At 40.2% G+C, this 21,081-nt stretch overlaps 1 protein-coding gene and 1 long non-coding RNA gene across 10 annotated transcripts in view, besides 2 other annotated features; one reads left to right on the top strand and one right to left on the bottom strand.

Annotated features, from left to right (window-relative positions):
* Positions 1-1,528: 1,528 nt before the first annotated feature.
* FAM201A (family with sequence similarity 201 member A) lies at positions 1,529-3,725 on the bottom strand. Its single transcript, NR_027294.1, has 2 exons — positions 3,448-3,725; positions 1,529-2,981 (listed from the first exon to the last, which is right to left on the bottom strand). It is a non-coding gene; the product is annotated as a family with sequence similarity 201 member A (long non-coding RNA).
* Positions 2,590-2,799: an enhancer, noted in NCBI's record as "active region_28418". NCBI's record gives its function as "activates an Ori minimal core promoter by ATAC-STARR-seq in GM12878 lymphoblastoid cells {active_cell/tissue: GM12878}" and the evidence as "EXISTENCE:reporter gene assay evidence [ECO:0000049][PMID:35858748]".
* Positions 3,452-3,571: an enhancer, noted in NCBI's record as "active region_28417". NCBI's record gives its function as "activates an Ori minimal core promoter by ATAC-STARR-seq in GM12878 lymphoblastoid cells {active_cell/tissue: GM12878}" and the evidence as "EXISTENCE:reporter gene assay evidence [ECO:0000049][PMID:35858748]".
* Positions 3,726-4,216: 491 nt separating the features above from the next.
* ANKRD18A (ankyrin repeat domain 18A) overlaps positions 4,217-21,081 on the top strand; it is a 54,446-nt gene continuing 37,581 nt past the window's right edge. For 6 of the 9 annotated variants that reach the window (XM_024447481.2, XM_024447480.2, XM_024447479.2 and 3 more), the window contains exons 1-8: positions 4,217-4,733; positions 8,769-8,883; positions 9,046-9,219; positions 13,492-13,598; positions 14,403-14,540; positions 17,320-17,387; positions 19,897-19,950; positions 20,526-20,660. In XM_024447481.2, coding sequence (XP_024303249.1) covers positions 4,528-4,733; positions 8,769-8,883; positions 9,046-9,219; positions 13,492-13,598; positions 14,403-14,540; positions 17,320-17,387; positions 19,897-19,950; positions 20,526-20,660 — 997 coding nt within the window. In that variant the 5' untranslated portion in view covers positions 4,217-4,527. The remainder of the gene's footprint in view (positions 4,734-8,768; positions 8,884-9,045; positions 9,220-13,491; positions 13,599-14,402; positions 14,541-17,319; positions 17,388-19,896; positions 19,951-20,525; positions 20,661-21,081) is intronic. The other 3 variants (XM_024447483.2, XM_011517839.4, NM_147195.4) reach the window with 1 other exon arrangement.

Below are 21,081 nucleotides of genomic sequence, written 5' to 3'. Positions count from 1 at the left end.
ACTCATTTTATGAAGTTCTAATACCAAAAGCAGAAAAAGACATTTAAAGAAAAATGTTCAGACAAATGTCTCTCATCAAAAATTCTCAACAAAATATTAGCATGCTGAATCTAGCAATACATTGTTGAATTACACACCAAGACCAAGTGAGATTTATTCCAGGTATGCAAGCCTGGCTTAACACAAAATAGTTAAGGCAATCCCTCAGATAACTAGCTAAAGAAGAAAAGTTATTTGATTATATTAATAGATCAAGAAAGCATTTTACGGAATCCAAAGCCCATTCATGGTTAAAACTCTCAGCAAATTAGAAATAGAAGGGAAATTCCTCAACTGATAAAGAACATATACCAAAAGAACATCCTACAGACAATATCATACATAATGTGAAAAATGGGATGTTTTACACAAAAGAAGCAAGGAAATGTTATCCCCTCTCACTGCTCCTATTCAACATCATACTAAAATCCTAGCTAATGCAATAAGACAAGAAAATAAAATAAAAGGTATACAGATTGGAAAGGGAGCATTAAAATGCCCTTTGCTTGCTGATAACTTGATTTTCTATGTAGAGAATCTCAAAGCATCAGCCAAAAACCCTTCTGGATTATAGCAAGGTTGCACGGTATAAGGTTAATATACAAAATCAATTGCTGTCCTACATCCAGCAATGAACAACGAGAATTTGAAATTAAAAGCCCAATACCATTTTCATTAGCATCAAGAAAATGAAATAGACACAATCTAGCAAAATATGGGCAGGGTCTATGTGAGAAAAACTATAAAATCTGTTGAAAGGGATTAAAGATCTAAATAAATGAAGGGACATCTGTATTCACAAAATAAGACCCAGTGTTGTTAAGATGTCAGTTCTCTTCAGTGTGATTTACAAATTCATTACAACTCTCGTGAAAACATGAATAAATTATTGTGTGGAAATTGACAAACTAATTCTAAAGTTTATATAGAAAGACAAACTAACAAGAATAGCCAACAATATTGTGGGGGAGGAACAAAGTTCAAGGACTTGCAAAGTGATCAACGGAACAGAATAGAGAACTCAGAAATAAGAGTGCACAAACACAGTCAATTGATCTTTTACAAAAAGGTAAAGGCAATTCAAGGGAGAAAGGGTAGCTTTTTCAAAAACAGTGATGAATACATTGCGTGTATGTATATATACATATATGCAAAAAAAAAAAGAATTGAGACACAGACCTTGCTCCTCAAAAATTAACTCGAACGACACATTTTTAAGTTAATAATATTTTAAATTGTCAAACCACAATTGCATACATTTATGGGGTACAATGTGATGCTTGGATATGTGTATAAAATGAGGAATGACTACATCGAGGATAAAATATCCATCACCTCATGGCGTGAACCCAGGAGGCGGAGCTTGCAGTGAGCCGAGACCCTGCCACTGCAGTCCGGCCTGGGCGAAAGAGCGAGACTCTGTCTCAAAAAAATAAATAAATAAACAAATAAATAAATAAAATAAAAAATACCCATCACCTCAATTTTATTTTTTGTGGTTAGATATTTGAAATTTACTTTTTGTTATTTAAATATACAGTACATTATTATTGACTATAGTCATCCTGCTGTGCAATAGATTTCAAAACGCATTTCTCCGGTTTAACTGAATCTTTGCATCTGTGAACAACTTCCCATTTTTCTCCCCAGCAACACAGCCTCTGGTAAGCATCATTATACTCTCTACTTTTATGAATTCAATTTTTAGACCTAAATTTAAATCCAAAAGCTGTAAAACTTCTGTAAAATAACAAAAGGGATATTTAGGTAACTTTGGGTTTGGCAATTACTTTGTAGATACAACAGTAAAGTACATAAAAGACAAATTTCTACCATGAAAGAAGATATTGGTATGAAGTCGTTACAATTAAAAACTTTTGCTCTGGGAAAGGAAATAAGAGAATGGAGAAACAAGCCACAGACGGAGAAAATATTTGCAAAACACCTGTCTGGCATCCAGACCATTAAAAACCACTTACAACTCAACAATAAGAAATCGAACAACCCAATTAGTAAATGGACGAAAGATCTAAAGAGGCTCCCATCAGAGATGGCATATAGAAGGGGAAAAGCTTATGAAAAGATGTTTGCCCTCCCAACGCTTTTCCCTCCCTGCGTCCCTCTCCCTCACACACCCTCCGCTGCAGCGGAGTGGGAGCGGGTCAGGGGCGCTAGGCGGTGACGGTGACGGTGACGTGCTGTCTCTCGGGCGAGGCGTGGGATTTAAGCGCATTATAAGCCGTGGGTCCCGGGGAATCCGAGAGGCTGAGCTTGGAGCCCAGACTGACCCGCCTCTCTCATGGTCCCGGCCCACTGCCCTGCAGAGCCCGCCTTACTCTTCCTCTCCACAGGTCTGCTGTGGCTCCACCAAGCCTGGTAGGCCCACAAGGAGCTGCATCCAGCAGGAGCCGCCGCCCGGGAACAAGCTACCCGCGGGCTCTGGGGACAACCGCCCGTCTGATGAGCTCGGCTGAGCGTGCACGCAATGTCGAAATCAAGGACGCCTGGATGCTTTTCATGGCAGAGTGACAAAAGTTTACCAACAAGAAGAGGAGCAGGGCTGCTGAAAGGTGCGGTGCCGCGGCGCCAGAATGCGGGATCCTGAGCCCTGCATGCGAGTCTTCGCGGGGCCGATCGCTGCGAGCCTCGCTTAGGTCCAGCCGCCTCCAGGGAGGGCAATATCCACGAGACGCGGGGAGTGAGGGCGGTGCTGGCCGCACCCCTGGTCCTGGGGCCGCGGGAGCCGTGCTAGCAGGCCGCCTTCCACTGCCGCCTGCGCCGGGTCGGGTTGCTGCAGCGGTGCCCGCTGCAGGAGCTCCGCGCCTGCTGCTTCTCCGACGTCAGGGCGCCGCCAGGATGACAGGTGCAGGAGGCTGCGGCTGTGGGCAGATGTGGTTTCCAGCCCCAGGTCCCGGCGGCCCCTGGCTTCCCAGCCCGCTGTCCTGTGGGCAAGAAGATGAAGAAAGTCACCCCATCAGCAGGTCAGCTGCCCCGCCTGGCAGCCCAGCCAGACAAGGCAACCGAAGTTCATCCTGTCTGAGTTGACTTTGTGCAGGCAGCGGGCCGGCGCCCAGGATGCTGGGGAGCCCTGCGCGCCGGAGGCCGACAAGCCGTGGGGCCCAGAGGCGCCACAGGGCGAGAAGGCACCCGCCTCCCAGCGCTTTCACCCCCCGGCCCGCCCGACCCGCTAGGTGTAGCAGTGGCTGCGGCCAAGCCAGGCATTCTGCCCGGCGGCGGCTGCACAGGGGCGAAAACTGAGAACCCCTGCTCAACCCCATCCGGAGTGACTGCCAAGTGCCCATGCCAGCGACCCCGATCCCCCTCCGGTGGAGGAATGGGCGGGAGGCACGGCCTGGGGGCCCTCAGGCTGGGCGCGCTGGCGATCCCGAGGCCGACCAGGCCATGCACCTCCAGCCCGCCTGGGCACCCAAGCTGCATCCGCCTTCTGTGTGCAGGCAGCAGCCTCCAGGCAACCCCCGAGCCCGCCAGCACTCCCCACATCTCAGAACCGGGGCCAGATGTCCCTGTGGCTGCGGCTGAGCTAGGTGGTCTGCCCTGCAGCGGGAACCGGCTCTCAGCCCCATTCCCCGTGGCTGCAGAGGGCCACTGGCTAGAGGTCCCGAGCTTCAGCAGACGAGGAGCCGAGCAGGGGCAGGGCCTGGCGGGCTCTCAGGCCAGGTGCACTCGCGATCCAGAGGCCGCCTAGGCCGTGCTCCACCACCTGGGCGCCCAAGCTGCAGGCGCCCTCTACCTGCTGGCGACAGCTGCCTGGCAACTCCCAAGATGGCTGGCGCTCCCAGCCTGGCAGAACCGGGGCTACATGTCGCCCTGGCTGCGGCCAAGCCAGGCGGTCTACCCGGCGGCGGCTGCACCGGGACAGGAACCGACCCCCCAGTCCCATCCCCGGTGGCTGCGGAGGGCCCCTGTCAGCGGCCCCGATCTCTCTTCGGAGGAGGAGCGGGTCGGGAGTCAGGGCCAGGCAGGCCCTCAGGCGGGAAGGGATGCACTCCTGGGATTCCGGGACGTCCCGCGGGAGCCCAGGAGAACCCGCAAGCCAGCGACGCGTGCGCCCGTGCTGCAGGTGCCCCCTGCCGGCCACGAGGGCTTGGGAGCGGCTTCCGGAGTCCCGGCTGGCGCTGAGTTGTAGGCGCGCGCCTAACTGGCATCGCGGGGACTCACTCGGTCTGAGAGTTCGGAGCGCTGAGGTTCAGGCGCGCGCCTAACGGCTTAGCTGGGCTCACTCGGTCTGAGAGGTCGGAGTCTGCGAGTGTCGCTGCTGAAGGCTGTGGTGGACCGGGCTGGATCGCGGATTCTGAGCTACATTGCGGGTTTGGGGGTGGATCTTGGATTTGGGGGTGGATCGCGGGTTGCGGGGGGGATCGCGGGTTGCGGGGGAGATCGCGGATTTGGGGCGGAGTGGGGGTGGAAAGGCCACGAGGAGCCGCCGCGGCTCAGGAGCGGGTGGTGGGCGTCTGAGAAGTCGCCACCATGAGGAAGCTCTTCAGCTTCGGGAGACGCCTGGGCCAGGCGCTCCTGAGCTCCATGGACCAAGAGTATGCGGGTCCGGGTTACGACATTCGGGACTGGGAACTGCGGAAGATCCACAGGGCTGCCATCAAGGGCGACGCCGCGGAGGTGGAGCGCTGCCTGACGCGCAGGTTCCGGGACTTGGACGCCCGCGACAGAAAAGACAGGTAGCTCGGGGACTCAGCCCGCGGTGGGAGGGGGCCGCAGGCCCGGCTTCCCTGCAGCCCGGCAGCCCCTGGGGCGGGGACCTTGGAGGGCGCCGGGCACCCTCGGAGCAGCGGAGCCAAATGGAGCCTCAGCTGCTTTCCGTCGCTGGCAATTCCCCGTCCGTCGCGCTTGGTGGAAAATTTGAGTGATTTAACTCACAAAGTTAGGCATATCCACGTTTAAAACATGGGGCCATATACATGATAGGGAGGTGCCTAATGAGAACTCATTCCCCTGTCAAAAATACCATGAGCCTTTTTCAGTAGGCGAAGAGTTCTCAGATAAAACCCTGTGTCGGTTTTACATCCGAATCCACCTAGGTAGACAGGTTCTTTACTGGAGCTTCTTAGAGGGACACTGGGAAGCGCGAGGTGGGTTCCTTGAATGGGAAGACTCAGTTTTCTCAAAATATGAACTGTTTCCATGTTTATCAGTTTTACATAAACTGAATGAAGATATCAAGGTTTTATCATTTTTGCATGACACTTGCTATCTATCTTACCATTGTGATGACATTTAAAAATGTTTATAATGGAGTGAAAAGACTTGCTCCTCTAGATATCAAAATGTGCTATTAATTCCCACAATTAATTATTTACTAACAGCTGAAAACACAGATAAATAAATGGAACAGAACAGGAAATCCAAAAACACTGAAATATATGTAAGATATATACATAGGGATGGATAATGGTAACGTTTCAGATGAGTAGGAAAAGATGAGTTATTAATAAAATGCCTGCTGTGTGAAGAAAACTAATGAAACTTTATGTCGCAAAAATGGGTTCCTGATGGAATTCAGACTGAAATTTTTACACATGCAAAATGAGAAAAAGTACCAGAAGAAAACGCAAAGACTTATTTATACAGGTACATTTTATGTTAACAAAGGCCTTCGTAAGAATGACCTCGCAAGCAGGCATTCTGAAAGTTGATTTAGCAAACTAAAAATTAAAATCCCCTGTGTATCAGAAAAAAATTAACAAAAGATAACACACTCGAAAAATATTTCCTATATATATTTTTACTAATATATAAAAATATATATTCAGATGAAAAGTGTATCTTCATCCTACAGGGAATTTATTCTTTATTATATATAATACATATTACTGATTATATGTATAAGAAATTGTATATATTACTAATATAATGTGTTATATATATATATCAGTTATATATATACAGATAAAAAGCACATCTTTATTTTACAGGGAATTCTTTCCAATCAAATCCACAAGAAAAGAACTCTAGAAGTGAGCAAAGCACTTTTTGCAGATTCACAAGTTACTTATGTACATAGGAAAAAATCCTTAGTGTTTCTCATAAGATAAGTTAAAAGAGGAGTGAGACTGTGTTCTATCCACAGTGTTTGTGAGAATGAAGAGCAGTGGCACTTACACTGCTGCTTGAAGTTTAAGTTGCTGATGACTTTTCAAGTGGATAATTTGGAGATAATTACCACATTTTAAAAATGTATATGCCCTTTACCCATCAATTCCATTGTATTAAAATACCTTCAGAAAATAGAGATACATGCACTTTTTTTCCCCAGCATTTATGTTAACAAGAACCCATAGAATGGTATGTGGCCATTGAAGGTGGCAATAGGTGGAGAAGTATGTTGATATGTGAAGATGCATTTTGTTACAGCCAGTGAGGAAAAACAAATCAGTTTGCTTGCACATACACACAAACATACTATGGTCTGGTGTTAGGCAATACTATGCACAAAATAGGATAAAATTTGTAACTTCTGAGCATTTGTATTTTAAAGTTTTTTGTTCCTTTTTCTTACCTTTGATTTCTGAAGTGAGCATTTATAAAATTTCTAGTAAAAATTTATTATTAATGGAATAAATTTTGGGAAGAGAAATATGACTCTTGAACAGATAAAAATAATTTCTCACTATTTTTTATCATTATTATTGTGAGGGTTTGAACTTTTAGCTTCTTCAGAAGTAAAAAGGGAATCTTTTTATCTGTGCTTGCAGATTTTATGTATATACTTTATTATGTATATATGTTTTTCTTATGTATAGATTCATTACATATAGGCAAACAATGATAGATTAATCATTTCATTATAGTTGTAGTCTTATCAAAATAACAAATAGCAAATATTATTACTATCACAAAAATATTGGTTTATAGAAGTTGTATTTAAAAATATTGAGCTCCCCAACTGTATTCTATCAATCCATTTATTCATCAAACATAACTCGAATATGTTATGTAGCAAACATTTTGCACTATCTCTCAGGACCCTTCCATACTTAAAAACTTTATGTTTACCTGTTCTGCCTGAGCAAGATGAGAGATTTAAAATAGGAATAGTAGAACTTAATCTCACTGAAGCTTTTCCTCCCACCTTTCAAGCAAAAGCCTTTCTGAAGGTAGAAAACAATAAGAGATAACCTTTAACTGCCCTTTTGAAAATTTATCAGTCTTAAATACTAATATTAATCATTGGAAAGTCTGATTTGCATATATTCTGTAAATCTAAGTGTTGACTAAAATGAGCCATACCTGTTCATCTCAATCATGAGTTTCCTTTAGCTTCACGTTTCTTTTTGTTTGTTTGTTTGTTTTTTCGTTTTGCGACAGAGTCTCACTCTGTCGCCTATGCTGGAGTGCAGTGGCGTGATCTCAGCTCACTGCAACCTCTGCTGCCAAGGTTCAAGTGATTATCCTGCCTCAGCCTCCCGAGTAGCTGGGATTACAGGTGCCTGCCACCGCACCCAGCTAATTTTTGTAGTTTTAGTAGAGACAGAGTTTCACTATGTTGGCCAGGCTGGTCCTGAACTCCTGACCTAGAGATCCACCTGCCTCGGCCTCCCAAAGTGCTGGGATCACAGGCGTGAGCCACTGGGCCCGGCCAGCTTCCCATTTTTAAAAATCAAAGTAAGAAGTAATTTGTTTAAAAAATATGTTGTTATTTCAGTGCTCTTTCCCCATGGTACTTTGAGGAATTAAAATGTATTTAAGTGTCAATTAGATTCCTAGAATTGCCCTAGACCTGCTGTGTATACAGTATTCTACTTAATGTAAGACCTCATGGATTGTGTGATACCCTACTATTTTCTATATTAATAAGATGATTTTTAAATGCTACCAATTATAAATGCTACCATATAAAAATTATGAATTATAAATACCACTCCAATATCAGATATGCTAAAATGTGACCTAATCTTTAAATCATCCTGCAAAATAGCAATAATTGTATCATTTTACTTAATTAAAATATTTTTGTTAAATACTAGTAATATAATTATAACATCTGGCTGAGTGCATGGCTCACACCTGTCATTCCAGAACTTTGGAAGGCTGAGGTGGGAAGTTCCCATGATGCTAGGAGTTTGAGACCAGCCTGGGCAACAAGGTGACATTCCTACTCTACAAAAAAAAATTTAAAAATTAGCTGATCATGCTGGTGCACTCCTGTGGTCCCAGCTATTCAGGAGGCTGGGGCAGGAGGTTTGCTTGAGCCTACAAGTGCCAGGCTGCAGTGAGGTATAAATACACCATTGCACTCCAGCCTGGGCAACAGAGCAAGACCGTGTCTCAACAAACAAAAGTCTAACAGTTATTGAGTTGTTGCTTGTTCTGGAAACAGTTCTAAATGCTTTACATAGATTTTCATTTAAGCATCACAGTGGTGTCCTGTGAGCTAGCTGCTGTGGTCATCTTTATTAATGAGGAAATTCAGGCACAGAAAGGCTAAGCAATAGCTGGTACGTGACCGAGTTCAAAGTAGAACTCAAGCCCTAGTTAAGCTGAATCCAAACACCAAGCTCATTCTATCCAAATAGGCTGCTGTTTCATTAAGGTAGGGAGCAGTAAGAGCTAATAAATATTGTACTTTCTTCAAAAGAAAATTATTTGTTTTGAAGGCAGAGGAATAATGCCATTCAATGTTTACAATGACATGGACCATTGTAGGTTTTGAGATATTGCACTACATTTCCTGAAAACCCCTCTCGCTCTCCTAGGACTGTTCTACATTTGGCCTGTGCCCATGGCCGTGTGCAAGTGGTCACTCTCTTGCTGCACAGAAGATGCCAGATCGACATCTGTGACAGACTAAACAGGACACCTTTAATGAAGGTATATAGTAGCCAACTCTTTCAGCATGAAATGGATTTGATTTAAATACATAGAATTAAAATGAATTTGTCTCATTTAAATATAGCTAGTTGGTGAAACCTGTGGAATATGTATTTTGAATTCTTAGAATTTATAGTCTAGTTTTTTATCTAACACTAATAGGCTGTACACAGCCAGGAAGAGGCTTGTGCCATCGTTCTCCTGGAATGTGGCGCCAATCCAAACATTGAGGATATCTACGGCAACACTGCTCTCCATTATGCCGTGTATAATAAGGGGACTTCACTGGCAGAAAGACTGCTTTCCCACCATGCAAATATTGAAGCACTAAACAAGGTACAGATCAATCAACTTTCTTTTCAAAATGTTTGTTTTAATATTGACATAGTTAAGAGTCAATTTTTCATATTTGGAACTCAAGTATTCCTGAATGAAAATGTCTTGAAATAATTGTCTAAAATTTTACTTTAAATATTGATACTTTTAAAGAAGCATTAGAGGGCACAGCTATTTTAGTGCACGTATGGGAAGTATTTGTGAATTTGTTAAGGTAAAACTTCTTCTTTTCAAGTATTTGTTTCCTACCCCAGGTGTATTTTTTTTCTAATTAGTGTAAAAACAGCACAGGGAAAAAATTACCCTGGAAATAGGCTTTATCTTAAAACTCAAAACTAAAGCAACTTACAATAAATGGAAGTCTTGCTGCTGCTGACGGTTTTCTAACAAAATGGATGTATCTTTCATGGGCAAGGTTTAACAGGGAAAAATAGAAAGGGAAAAGGAGAGCAATCAAAAACATGCAGGTCACTTGGAAATTAGGTAATGAGGGAAAATGCCAAGAAGAGGTTTTGTTTTTTAGTTTGTTGTTTTTCCAGTTTATGTATTGAGACAAAGCGCTCTTCAGCTTTGGGGTAATCATTTTTGGTTTGGTAAAAAGAGTGACCGAAACTTGCCTAAAGATTAATTTTTAGAGGACTCTGAGGAAACCAGATTGGCAGTGAATATACGGTGATGAAGTGAGAAACACTTCAGCAAAGGGTGGAACAAATTAGTAACTGACTTATTACCCATCCCGGCAAAAACAGCAACTTAGATAAGAGTCTAAACTCTCCTTTCAAATCTAGAATATCTTGATGAGAAGGTGGGAGATAAGCAGCTTATAAATAGCAAAATCAACTGGGATTTTGAGTTTACTTGTCCCTGATATACCCACACCCAGGAAAATTAACTGGAATTTTAATACATAACTCTATCTCATACTCCTCTCTGGCCACATCCCAAGCTGATAAAGGATATTGGCCATGTGGGTGAGAGATGAAACTGAAGTGATTGTCTGCTGCAGTAATTCTCAGCTAGAATTGTGCATTACAATGACCTGGGGAAATTTTGTTAAAAGTCTACAAGTGTAGGCTTTCCCCTGAGGATTTTGATGTAATAGATCTAATAAGTTCTGAACATGTATGGTTAAAAATATTTTCTTGAAGCCATGCACTGTGGCATGTTCCTGTAGTCCCAGCTACTCAGGAGGCTGAGGTGGGAGGATTGCTTGAGCCTAGGAGTTTAAGTCCAGCCTGAGGCGGGCAGATCACGAGGTCAGGAGATGGAGACCATCCTGGCTAACATGGTGAAACCCCGTCTCTACTAAAAATACATAGTAAGACTCTTGTCTCTTACCACAACAAGAGCAAAAAAAAAAAAAAAAAAAAAAAACCTCAGTGTTCGAATACACTCCTGATTAAGAAGCACAGAATAGATAAGTGCAGGATATAAATTCCTGTATGTCAAAGACATAAGAAATCTCTAAAAGAGTTGGCATTCGATAGGTGCTACTTTCTTCAAAGTTTTCTTTTCCAATAACATTAAACTGACTTATCTGTCTTTCTCTACATTTGTGACTGGGAAGTGAAAGGGAATATCATTGGCAATATCGCTCAGCTTACAGAATAACACTTTTTGCTTCCCACCATGAATCACTCACTGCCATTCAGACAGTCTTTAGCAATTTACTTGTGGGTAATCTTTCAATAAGTAGAGACTGACCCTTTCACAATTTCATGTTCCTTTGTCACCATTCAAGTGATTATGTGTCAGCAAATGTTCATTACAAGTGAGATTTTCTCAATTAGATCGGTAGCAAATCTTGAACCTTTTTGTTTCAGTTGCAGTTGTATTAGGGACTATCTCAGTATGCCTATTAAGTTTATAGAGCTTTGGCATTATCAGGATGTCAGTTTTAAACACTGAAATCCTTGAAGTCAGTGAGAATACAATAGGAATTCTTTTAATAATTTAGTTTCAGCATTCCTATGAACTAATTGTCCATTTGGTGAACAATCTGGGAAAATTATATGCACATAGATTGCAAATGAATAAATGTTGGGAAAATTCTTGAGGTGGGTATTATGAGTGTTAACAGCAATTTTTATTATGTATATATCAGGGCCTGAGTTTTTTTATTAAACATACGATACTAGACAGAGAAAAAGTTCCACATGCAAATACTTGGTTTATACACAATCATTTAGCAACACATTCACAGCAAATATAAAAACACAAGAGCTATAGTCTAAATGTGGCGTATAGATTTGTTCTTTGCCTCTTTGAATTGAGTCAACATGTAAACTTTAGTGGACTCATGCAGAAGTCTGGACCTCAGGCTTAAGAAACAAATCTGGTGTCCCCAGAACCACATCACTGCTTGGTCTGCTGCGCAGAGGTTGCCCTGGGTAGGAGGCACATATTCTCCAGTTTGCTACTGTGCCCACCTGAGTACTTCACTTACTTAGGTAACCTCCTTCATCCTTATAAGTATTTGAGCTTTAACTCCTTTTTTATAATATATTTTCATAAAGATTTCAAGGTTTTCAAGACAGCATATATTGGTTCATAATATATAGTCTATAGTTTATATAAATCCCTCAATTATAGAGTTGAATTTTAGAATTCAGAAGTTTTTTTAACTCTTTTTTTATATCTATACCACAAATAGTCATCTGCTCATAAGAATGCCTAGAAGCCCTTTTAGGTTATTCCTGCTGAGAAGTGGATAGATTATGAATATTGCAGACATTATATCTTTCTTCTCAGCAATGTCCCTTAAAAATGCAAGTGACGGCCGGGTGCAATGGCTCACACCTGTAATCCCAGCACTTTGGGAGGCTGAGGCGGGCAGATCACGAGGTCAGGAGATGGAGACCATCCTGGCTAACACGGTGAAACCCTAACTCTACTAAAAATACAAAAAGTTAGCCAGGTGTGGTGGCAGGTGCCTGTAGTTCCAGCTACTTGGGAGGCTGAGGCAGGAGAATGGCATGAACTCGGGAGGTGGAGCTTGCAGTGAGCGGAGATCATGCCACTGCACTGCAGCCTGGGTGACAGTGTGAGACCCCATTTCCAAAAAAAAAAAAAGAAAAAGAAAAAAATGCAAGTGACTTATTGGCTCTTATTATGCTAGAAACAAGCCCTATACATCAGTATTAGCACTTTTTTTGATAAGCCATTGTATTTTTATTTCTGATTTATATTTTGCCTAAAGTAAAAAAAATAATGTTAAATAGCAATTTAAATGGAAATCAATACAAATGGATTTAAAAAGTAAAGTTGCATTAACGTCCCAGGATTATCATTATAATTGAGAATAGAATTTCTTACTGAGCTTTGCTTTTTAATATTTATTTTCAAAAAGTTTTAACTGGTCTCTCTTACACAGAACATACTGAGCTTTCTAATAGTTAAGATAAAAATCTATCCTCTTGCATTAGGAGAAATCCCATGGAGTATTTAATAATAAGGAAAATAAGTGCATTTGAAGCCAATCTCTCTTAATTCAGAGCTCATTTCCTTAGTGGCCCCTTTGGATCAGGAGTGCCTGACATTGGCATCCTGAGACCATTGATAGACATAAATCAAGCAAGTTTGTGCCACCCAGAGGAAACCTCCACTTGTATTGGGAAGCTCTGGCAACTGTATCCCTGAAACTCTAGTTCCTAAAATGTTAATGTTTGCCACAAAAAGCATTGTCAAATTGAGATTAGGCAAAGTTCAAGGGATTTCTAGATTGTTGGCCATGTAATATAGTTTTTAATACTTCTCAAATGCAGATGATCATGGAATCTTTTTGTTGGGGTACAGTTCTTTCGGTAAAACAACTACTCTTTGAAATATAGTTTAAGAAACACTTCTCTAGAGGTAATAATTTAGATCATTAATTTATTTTAAAAACTTAAAGCATTCGCTACTATGTCTTAGGTTTTAGGGTTATAGAGAAAAAAGATACAGCCCTTGCCCTTGAGAATCTCTTGGTTTCAGTGGGAAACAATGAAATAATTACAATGGACTGTGCTAAATGCTGAGATAGAAGCAAGGATTTTGGGGACTGGTAAATAAAGTGAGTTTTGGAGATGACTGAAGTTAATGTGGGGAGGCAGAGGAGGGGTGTTTCAAGGCAGTGTGTGGGAAAGCACAGAGGAGTGAAAGGGACGGGACTGCTTTGCATTTACTTTCTCTCTATATTGCATGTTTAAGTTCATAGCATCTTATAGAAGATTTTTAGTTCAGTGGAGAAATATGTAATTTTGTGAATTATAAATTGTTTTTGCTTTCTTACAGGAGGGAAACACTCCACTTTTGTTTGCTATAAATTCCAGGAGACAGCATATGGTGGAATTTTTATTGAAGAACCAGGCAAATATACATGCCGTTGACAATTTCAAAAGGTGCAATAGTTTTTGTTTTTTGTTTTCTTTTTTCCTAAAAACCTGAGTGTTCTAGAGCGGTAACAGTCACTCAAGTCAGAAATGTTAATAAGATTAAACTTATAATTATTGGCATATAGTAAAAAGTAACATGAATAATCAGGTAGAAAAGAAGTTATTTGGACTAAGCAACACAAAAAACAGTATATAGTAGGATTCATCTTCTCTTATAGACTGTTATTTGTAATTTGGTGTTTTTGGTCCTGTAATCTTATATTAGCTAAAGGGGGTTTGTATTTTATTAATTTTATGAAGTGTAGACTTTAACTTTCAGTTTACAACTACTACTATTACCATTATTATTATTATTATTATTATAGTTGTTGCTGTTGTTGTTGATGCTGTTGTTTTCAGCCTGCAGATAGCTCTTATTTATTTGATCCCTAGCTGACTTTGAATTACAATATAATTCAAAGCAATGGGAAAGCAATGGGAAAATCTTCACCTAAATCTTTGCCCACTTTAGATAAGTGACCTCAGCACAGTTTCTTGGCCATCAAAGGACTATAAATTAGCAATTTGTATTACGTCATGTCCCAATGGGACACGAAGTTTGCTTGTTGTCCCTGCCTTTTAGCCTTGGTGGTAATTTAACAAGATGAACACTTGAGCACCCAAGATGCTTATACACATAAGCTAGTACATGTAAATGGTTATTATGTCTATCCTGACAGGCAAGATATGAAATTGGTAAAGTGTATCCAATTTGCTAATTAAATATCTTCATCAAAGTTCTTGAGTGCTGTTATTTCTTTATTATTTTAGAACAGCCCTCATACTTGCAGTACAGCATAACTTGTCAAGTATCGTCACCCTCCTGCTTCAACAAAATATACGTATCTCTTCTCAAGACATGTTTGGCCAAACTGCCGAGGATTATGCTCTTTGTTCTGATTTGAGAAGGTATGTGCTTATATTAAAAGACCGGTTAATACTAAATTAAGGTTTAAAATAATTGTAACTATTGCATCTTATACATTAGGTGACAGTTCATAGTTTGGTTGAGGTAGCTTGGAATGGCAACAAGTTAGTCCACTTTTTAGCCAGAAATCACACAGAAAGCTAGACTAGTTAGAAGTAGCAATGAGTGCAAGATTCTTTCCGGACTTTTAAAGACCTTTATCCCTAGGAATCTCAGTGTTGTTCATTTTATTCCAAGTATAACTCATATGTGAGATAGAAATAATGTCCATCTTTTACTTTTTCTTTCTTTCTTCCTTTTTTTTTTTTTTTTTGAGACAAGGTCTCACTATGTTGCTCATGTTCCTGAGCTCAAGTGATTCTCCTGCCTTGGCCTCGCAAACTGCTAGCCACCATGCCTGGCCTGACTTTTCTAATTAGTTATTGGGTCTTGAAATGTCCACTTTAGCAGAAAATCTTGTATTATCCCCTAGGGCTACCTCCTATGCCTTCCTCCTTTGAATTTTTCAAAAAGCTAAGGGGTTCCCTAAGCCCAAGGAAGACAATCTTGCTTTACAAGTCAGAAGAAGAGGGGAAAAGGCCATTCTAGTCATTCTGTTGTTTCCATTGATTCACTTGCTGTATTGCTGCCATTGTAACTGGTCCTGCAATCTGGTAATGATTGACTTTTGCCACCAGGATGCCCTTACTGATTCAGATCCCTCACTCTTCATGGTGACTCATACACAGAGTCCACAGCTACAGTGTTTTGTTTTGTTTTGTTTTGTTTTTTTCGAGACGGAGTCTTGCTCAGTCGCCCAGGCTGGAGTGCAGTGGCGCAATCTTGGCTCACTGCAAGCTCCCCTTCCTGGGTTCACGCTATTCTCCTGCCTCAGCCTACCAAGTAACTGGGACTACAGGCGCCCGCCACCATCCCTGGCTAATTTTTTTTGTATTTTTAGTGGTGACGGGGTTTCACCATGTTAGCCAGGATGGTCTCGATCTCCTGACCTTGTGATCCACCCTCCTCGGCCTCCTAAAGTGCTGTGATTACAGGCGTGAGCCACCGCGCCCGGCCCACAGCTACAGTGTTTTTTAGTTCATGTACATAGGCTCAGCCATTGTTCCCAGCACCCTGCTCTGGCAGCGAGGCCTCCTGGCTCTACCCACACACATAGTGAGTAAGTTGACCTTCCCCCAACACTAAAAATCTTATTTGTAGCCCACCTTTTGGCTAGGCTTAGCCTGTACCTTCATGGTATGTTATCCTTTGAGACCAGTGTCCATTTTTTCTCTAGCAAATATTAGTTGGGATTGTACTCAACAGCTAGGGATGTTCAAATAATGTTGCAGGAAGAGAATAGAGGTCTCTTTGCCTTTTGTTATCACATCTGTACCTTGAGGCTTTTTTCTGACCTGTGTACATTATCCTTCAATAGAGTAATGGGGACCAACTTGGAGTTGGCCCCTCAAGTAATGTGTTTCCATAATAATGAAAATCTCTTATATTTATGTGAGATTATATTACATATAGATTATATAATCTATATATTATATAATTATTATATAATGTATATAATTATATTATTTTTATATTTATGTTATTTTAAATTTTTATTTATAGTTTATATTTTATATTTTTATATTTATATTATTATTATAAATATATATAGCTATATAGTTATAGATTATATAATCTATTATTATATAGTTATAGATTATATAATCTATATATTATATAATTATAGATTATATAATCTCATAATGAAAATCATTATAAAAGTATTCATGTAAGGTGATCTGTGAAATGAGAACAGAGCTGAGTAGCACACGGGATGTTACATGCAAATATGTTGTTAGTACATGACTTGGAAATGAGGAAACATCAACTTGCATCTGGAACTGAAAAACAATACAAGCAGGGCTTTGTCTTGTATGTCAGTTGGAGAGGACCAAGAAGATGCAGCCTCTAACACAGACCTGCTGGCTCTGAGTTTGAGGAGGTAGAGAAGGAATGGTAGTTGTCCCAGCCAGGTTTTGACACCTATTAGTTTTCTGCCCTTGGTGTGATTGATGAGTTCAGTAATAGGGGAAAATTAGAGTATATGTTTTAATGAGATAATAATATATTTGTATATAAATTTAGTTACAAGTTATGAACTAGCTAAAATGCTCTGAACTACAAGCCACAATAAATAGAACTAATAACCAAAATTAGCACTTAATAACATTCTCTGAAAACTGTGACATTCGAATATTAGAAACTATGGAAAAACACTCATCAGGTTTTATTTGAGATTCCAAAATGGTTTCAGCAATGCAGTTCAAGAATAAATTTTTCCATTGCTTTACTATTTCTCTGAACATTTAAACATGTTTTCTCATTGCATCTTCCTAATGACCTAGTGAAGTCAAGTAGTAAAACCTTTATTTTTTAGAAGAAGCCATGGAGGCTAAGAGAAGCAACTGGTCTGAAAACAAAATACCTATTGGTTACAGAGCGAGGACTTACTGTGAATGCAGGACAGTTTCCAGGCTGTTAAGCTAACTAGAATTAATTTACTGAGCTATGCTTTTCTCAGTTTATGAGCACTTCCTGTTTTTCTTGTTCAATTAGAAGCTTAATAAGTTTATAGAGCTTAAAATTTTAAAGTGTATCGGACATTAGATTTCTGATATTAGCTCTGATATTGTCTGAAATGCTTTAAGAATTTAATCTGTTTGGCAAATATTTTTCATATCACTATTAAAATACTAATTTTATTACGTTTATTATGCATAGCATCCGACAACAAATTTTGGAACATAAAAATAAAATGCTTAAAAATCATCTTCGAAATGACAATCAAGGTAAGACTTCTGATAGTAAATTTCTCATTTCCCTTGGTGATCTTACTGATTTTAAAAAGCAAAATTACAGGCCAGGCATGGTGGCTCACACCTGTAATCCCAGCACTTTGGGAGGCCGAGGCGGGTGGATCACCTGAGGTCAGGATTTTGAGACCAGCCTGGCTAACATGGTGAAACCCCATGTCTACTAAAAATACAAAAATTAGCTGGGCATCATGGCGGGCGCCTGTAATCCCAGCTACTCGGGAGGCTGAGGCAGAAGAATCACTTGAACCCGGGAAGTGGAGGTTGCAGTGAGCCGAGATTGCACCACTGCACTCCAGCCTGGATGGAAGAGCAAGACTCTATCTCCAAAGAAAACAAAAAGTGAGATTACATATTTTTAATCATAAAAGAGCAGTTTAAAATATATATGTTTATATATAAATTAATTTTTTAAATTTAATTTCTTTAGTTTAGAATTCAGAGTTATTTAGGAATTTGTAGCTAATTCTCAATCTCAAACAGTATTGTCTGAAAAAATTCATTTACCTACTTATGATCCTTGAAATTCTACATATTTTTGTATTAATATAAATAAGAAATTAGATTAAGTTAATATGTTGCAATTTCCTCCATAATTACATTGTTACGCATTGGACTTGTTATGCAAATGGATCTTCTATTTAATTTTTATAGTAAATGGTTTACATTTAGTAACTAAATATTAATTCCAATTGATTCTTGAATATTGTGGGGGTTAGGGACTGTGATCCCTGTGGAGTTGAAAATCTGAGTATAACTTTGACTCCTTCCAAACGTAACTACTAATAACCTACCATTGACTGGAAACTTTACTGATAACATGAACAGTCAGTGAACACGTATTTGTATGTGTTGCATTATTATATACTATGCTTTTAGAATAAAGGAAGCTAGAGAAATGAAGCTGTTATAAAGAAAATCATAGAAAAGAAAAAAATATACTTACTGTTCATAAACATAAGCAAATCCTCCCAAAAGTCTTCATCTTTATCATCTTCAGGTTGATTAGGCTGAGGAGGAAGAAAATGGTTGGTTTTGCTGTCTCTGGGTTGCAGAAGCAGAAGAAAAATCTGCGTATAAGTGGACCCCTGCAGTTCAAACTCTTGTTGTTCAAGGGTCAACTGCATTACACAGGAATCTGTGTCACTAAGAACGTAACTGTCTTTAGAACTAGGAATTCAACAATCCCTTTCTGACACCGTAAACAAATGGCAATAAGAACCATAAAACTGAGCTAATGTGCACCCATACAAATAGGAGATTATTTTTGAAGATAGCTACTGAATGCAGAAGACAGAAAAGTAATTCCTTTCCAAGAAGCAGAAGTTATGTTACATATTCTTATACAAACAAGGTCTATTTTTAATTTATTCACCATAAGTTGGAACCTCATGAGATATATTCACTTCTTAGAACAAGCTGTGTTTTTTTATGTGCTGGATAATTATTATAATAATAGTAATTTTATTGGAACAAGATAATCTGTTACCAGGCTGGGCGTGGTGGCTCATGTGTAATCCCAGCACATGGGAGACCAAGGAAGGCAGATCACTTGAGGTCAGGAGTTTGAGACCAGCCTGACCAACATGGTGAAACCCTATCTCTACTAAAAGTACAAAAATTAGCCAGGCATGGGGGTGGGCACCTGTATTCCCAACTACTCTGGAGGCTGAGGCAGAAGAATTGCTTGAACCCAGGAGGTGGAGATTGCAGTGAGCCGGAATGCACCACTGCACTCCAGCCTGGGTGACAGAGCAAGATTCCATCTCAAAAAAAACCATACTCTGTTACCATTAGGCAAGAGATAATCATAATAAATGTTCCAATAGCCAAACTCTAGGCTCCAAAAATTATAATAAAATTATAAAAATGGTTCACAATAACAAAAATGTAACACCTAATGCATTGTACAATCTGAACTGTATAAAGACACCGTTAACTTAGTACATAATTGTCAAACCACTTCTATAAGTTAGGTTTGGCAAATTGCAGGAGACAAAGATGGAATTGACATAGTTTTTGTCTTTAAGGTGCTCATAATAGAATATAGATAACTATTTAATTTTTGTGTTTTTTCAACAGAGTTTTTAAGAAAAATACTGTAATTCATTCAAATACTTGTCCACTTAAATAATAACTATCATGTATCTGTTACAGACTAAGCATTTTTCCAATGTTACAAAATACATTTAAAAAATACAGTTGGGAGATTGTTATTACCACTGTTATTTATTTTATTTACTACCTGAAATAGTGCTTACTGTGTGTCCAATGTCATCTGGGAGCTTATAGTTATTATTTATTACATATGTATCACGTTCAGTATGTGCCAGGCACGTTTACGTTTGTGGTGATGAATGCAATCTTCTAAAATGTGGGTAGGATTTAGGGTAAGCGTGCAGAGTGAGTGGAACTTTGCCAGGTAAGGAGGCAGAGGGATGATGCTTGGCAGAAAGAGTATCTAACAAGCTTGCATGTTTGACAGAAGCAGCAGCCATGAAGAATGAAAGTTTTAAAACACAAGGAGCAAGTTCAAAAGGTAGGACACCTGAGTGAACTTTGTAGAGTTTATGAGCAGTTCAAATTTACTAGTGCAAAAAAAAAATATATGGAGTGCTTGGTAATGAGGTGAAAATAGCTTATAGTTATTATTTATTATACTTAGTACGTGTCAGTGAAGGCAAGCTTGGGAAAGACTTTGTTGTTGTTTTACCTGTGTCTAGATACAAGTTCAATAAAAGACTTCTAATAGTATAGAAATGAGTAGATCTTATCCTGTAGGCCAGGGGAAACTTCTGAGGTAGAATGCTTTTGGCTGCAAATACTGGAAGACCTAACAGTGGCCAAAACCATAAGAACCAGACTTGTTTTGGTTGTCCAGTGATATTATTGGATTCCACTTGTTCCTCTTTCAGTTATGCTGTTGGCAGTGTCTTGTTCATGTCTCCCTTCATGGTTGGCTACTTAGCAACAGCTCCAAACACCATGTTCTCACAAGACAGTATCTAAAGGCTGGAAGGGCTGCTTTTCTTCACATGTGTCTTTTAAATTGGGAGAAAATTCAGAAGCATGCAGGGGACTTTTTGTAAATTTTTTTTTCCTTCGGGGATGTAGTCTCGCTCTATCACCAGTCTGGAGTCCAGTGGCATGATCTCAGATTACTGCAGCCTTCACCTCCCAGGTTCAAGCAATTCTCCTGCCTCAGCCTCCCGAGGAGCTGGGACAACAGGCACATGCGACCATGCCCAGGTAATTTTTGTATTTTTAGTAGAGACAGGGTTTCACCATGTTGGCCAGAATGGTCTCAGTCTCTTGACCTCGTGATCCGCCTGCCTCAGCCTCCCAAAGTGCTGGGATTACAAAGATGAGCCACCGTGCTCAGCCCTTTCTGTAATATTTTATTAGCTGGGTCACACCACATGCTCATTCCTAAACCAGGCACTGGGAAAGCAAATGTAGTTATATGATTAGCTTAGAATAATCACTTATGTTTTGAAGATGAGGAGGGGTATTGGGATAATAAATATCCACATAGATTTGTGATTCTCCAGCAAGAAACAACAAGGAACTGCTCTTGGGTAGGGAGCCAACAGTGTTTGCTCTAGAAATTCATTGGAAAATTGTAAGCAGGGGAGGCATTAGATTCAATTTGAGATTTAGGGCATTCTGT

Source organism: Homo sapiens, chromosome 9, assembly GCF_000001405.40.
Source record: "Homo sapiens chromosome 9, GRCh38.p14 Primary Assembly".
Taxonomy (NCBI): domain Eukaryota; kingdom Metazoa; phylum Chordata; class Mammalia; order Primates; family Hominidae; genus Homo; species Homo sapiens.
This window is presented reverse-complemented; position numbering and strand designations above follow the sequence as displayed.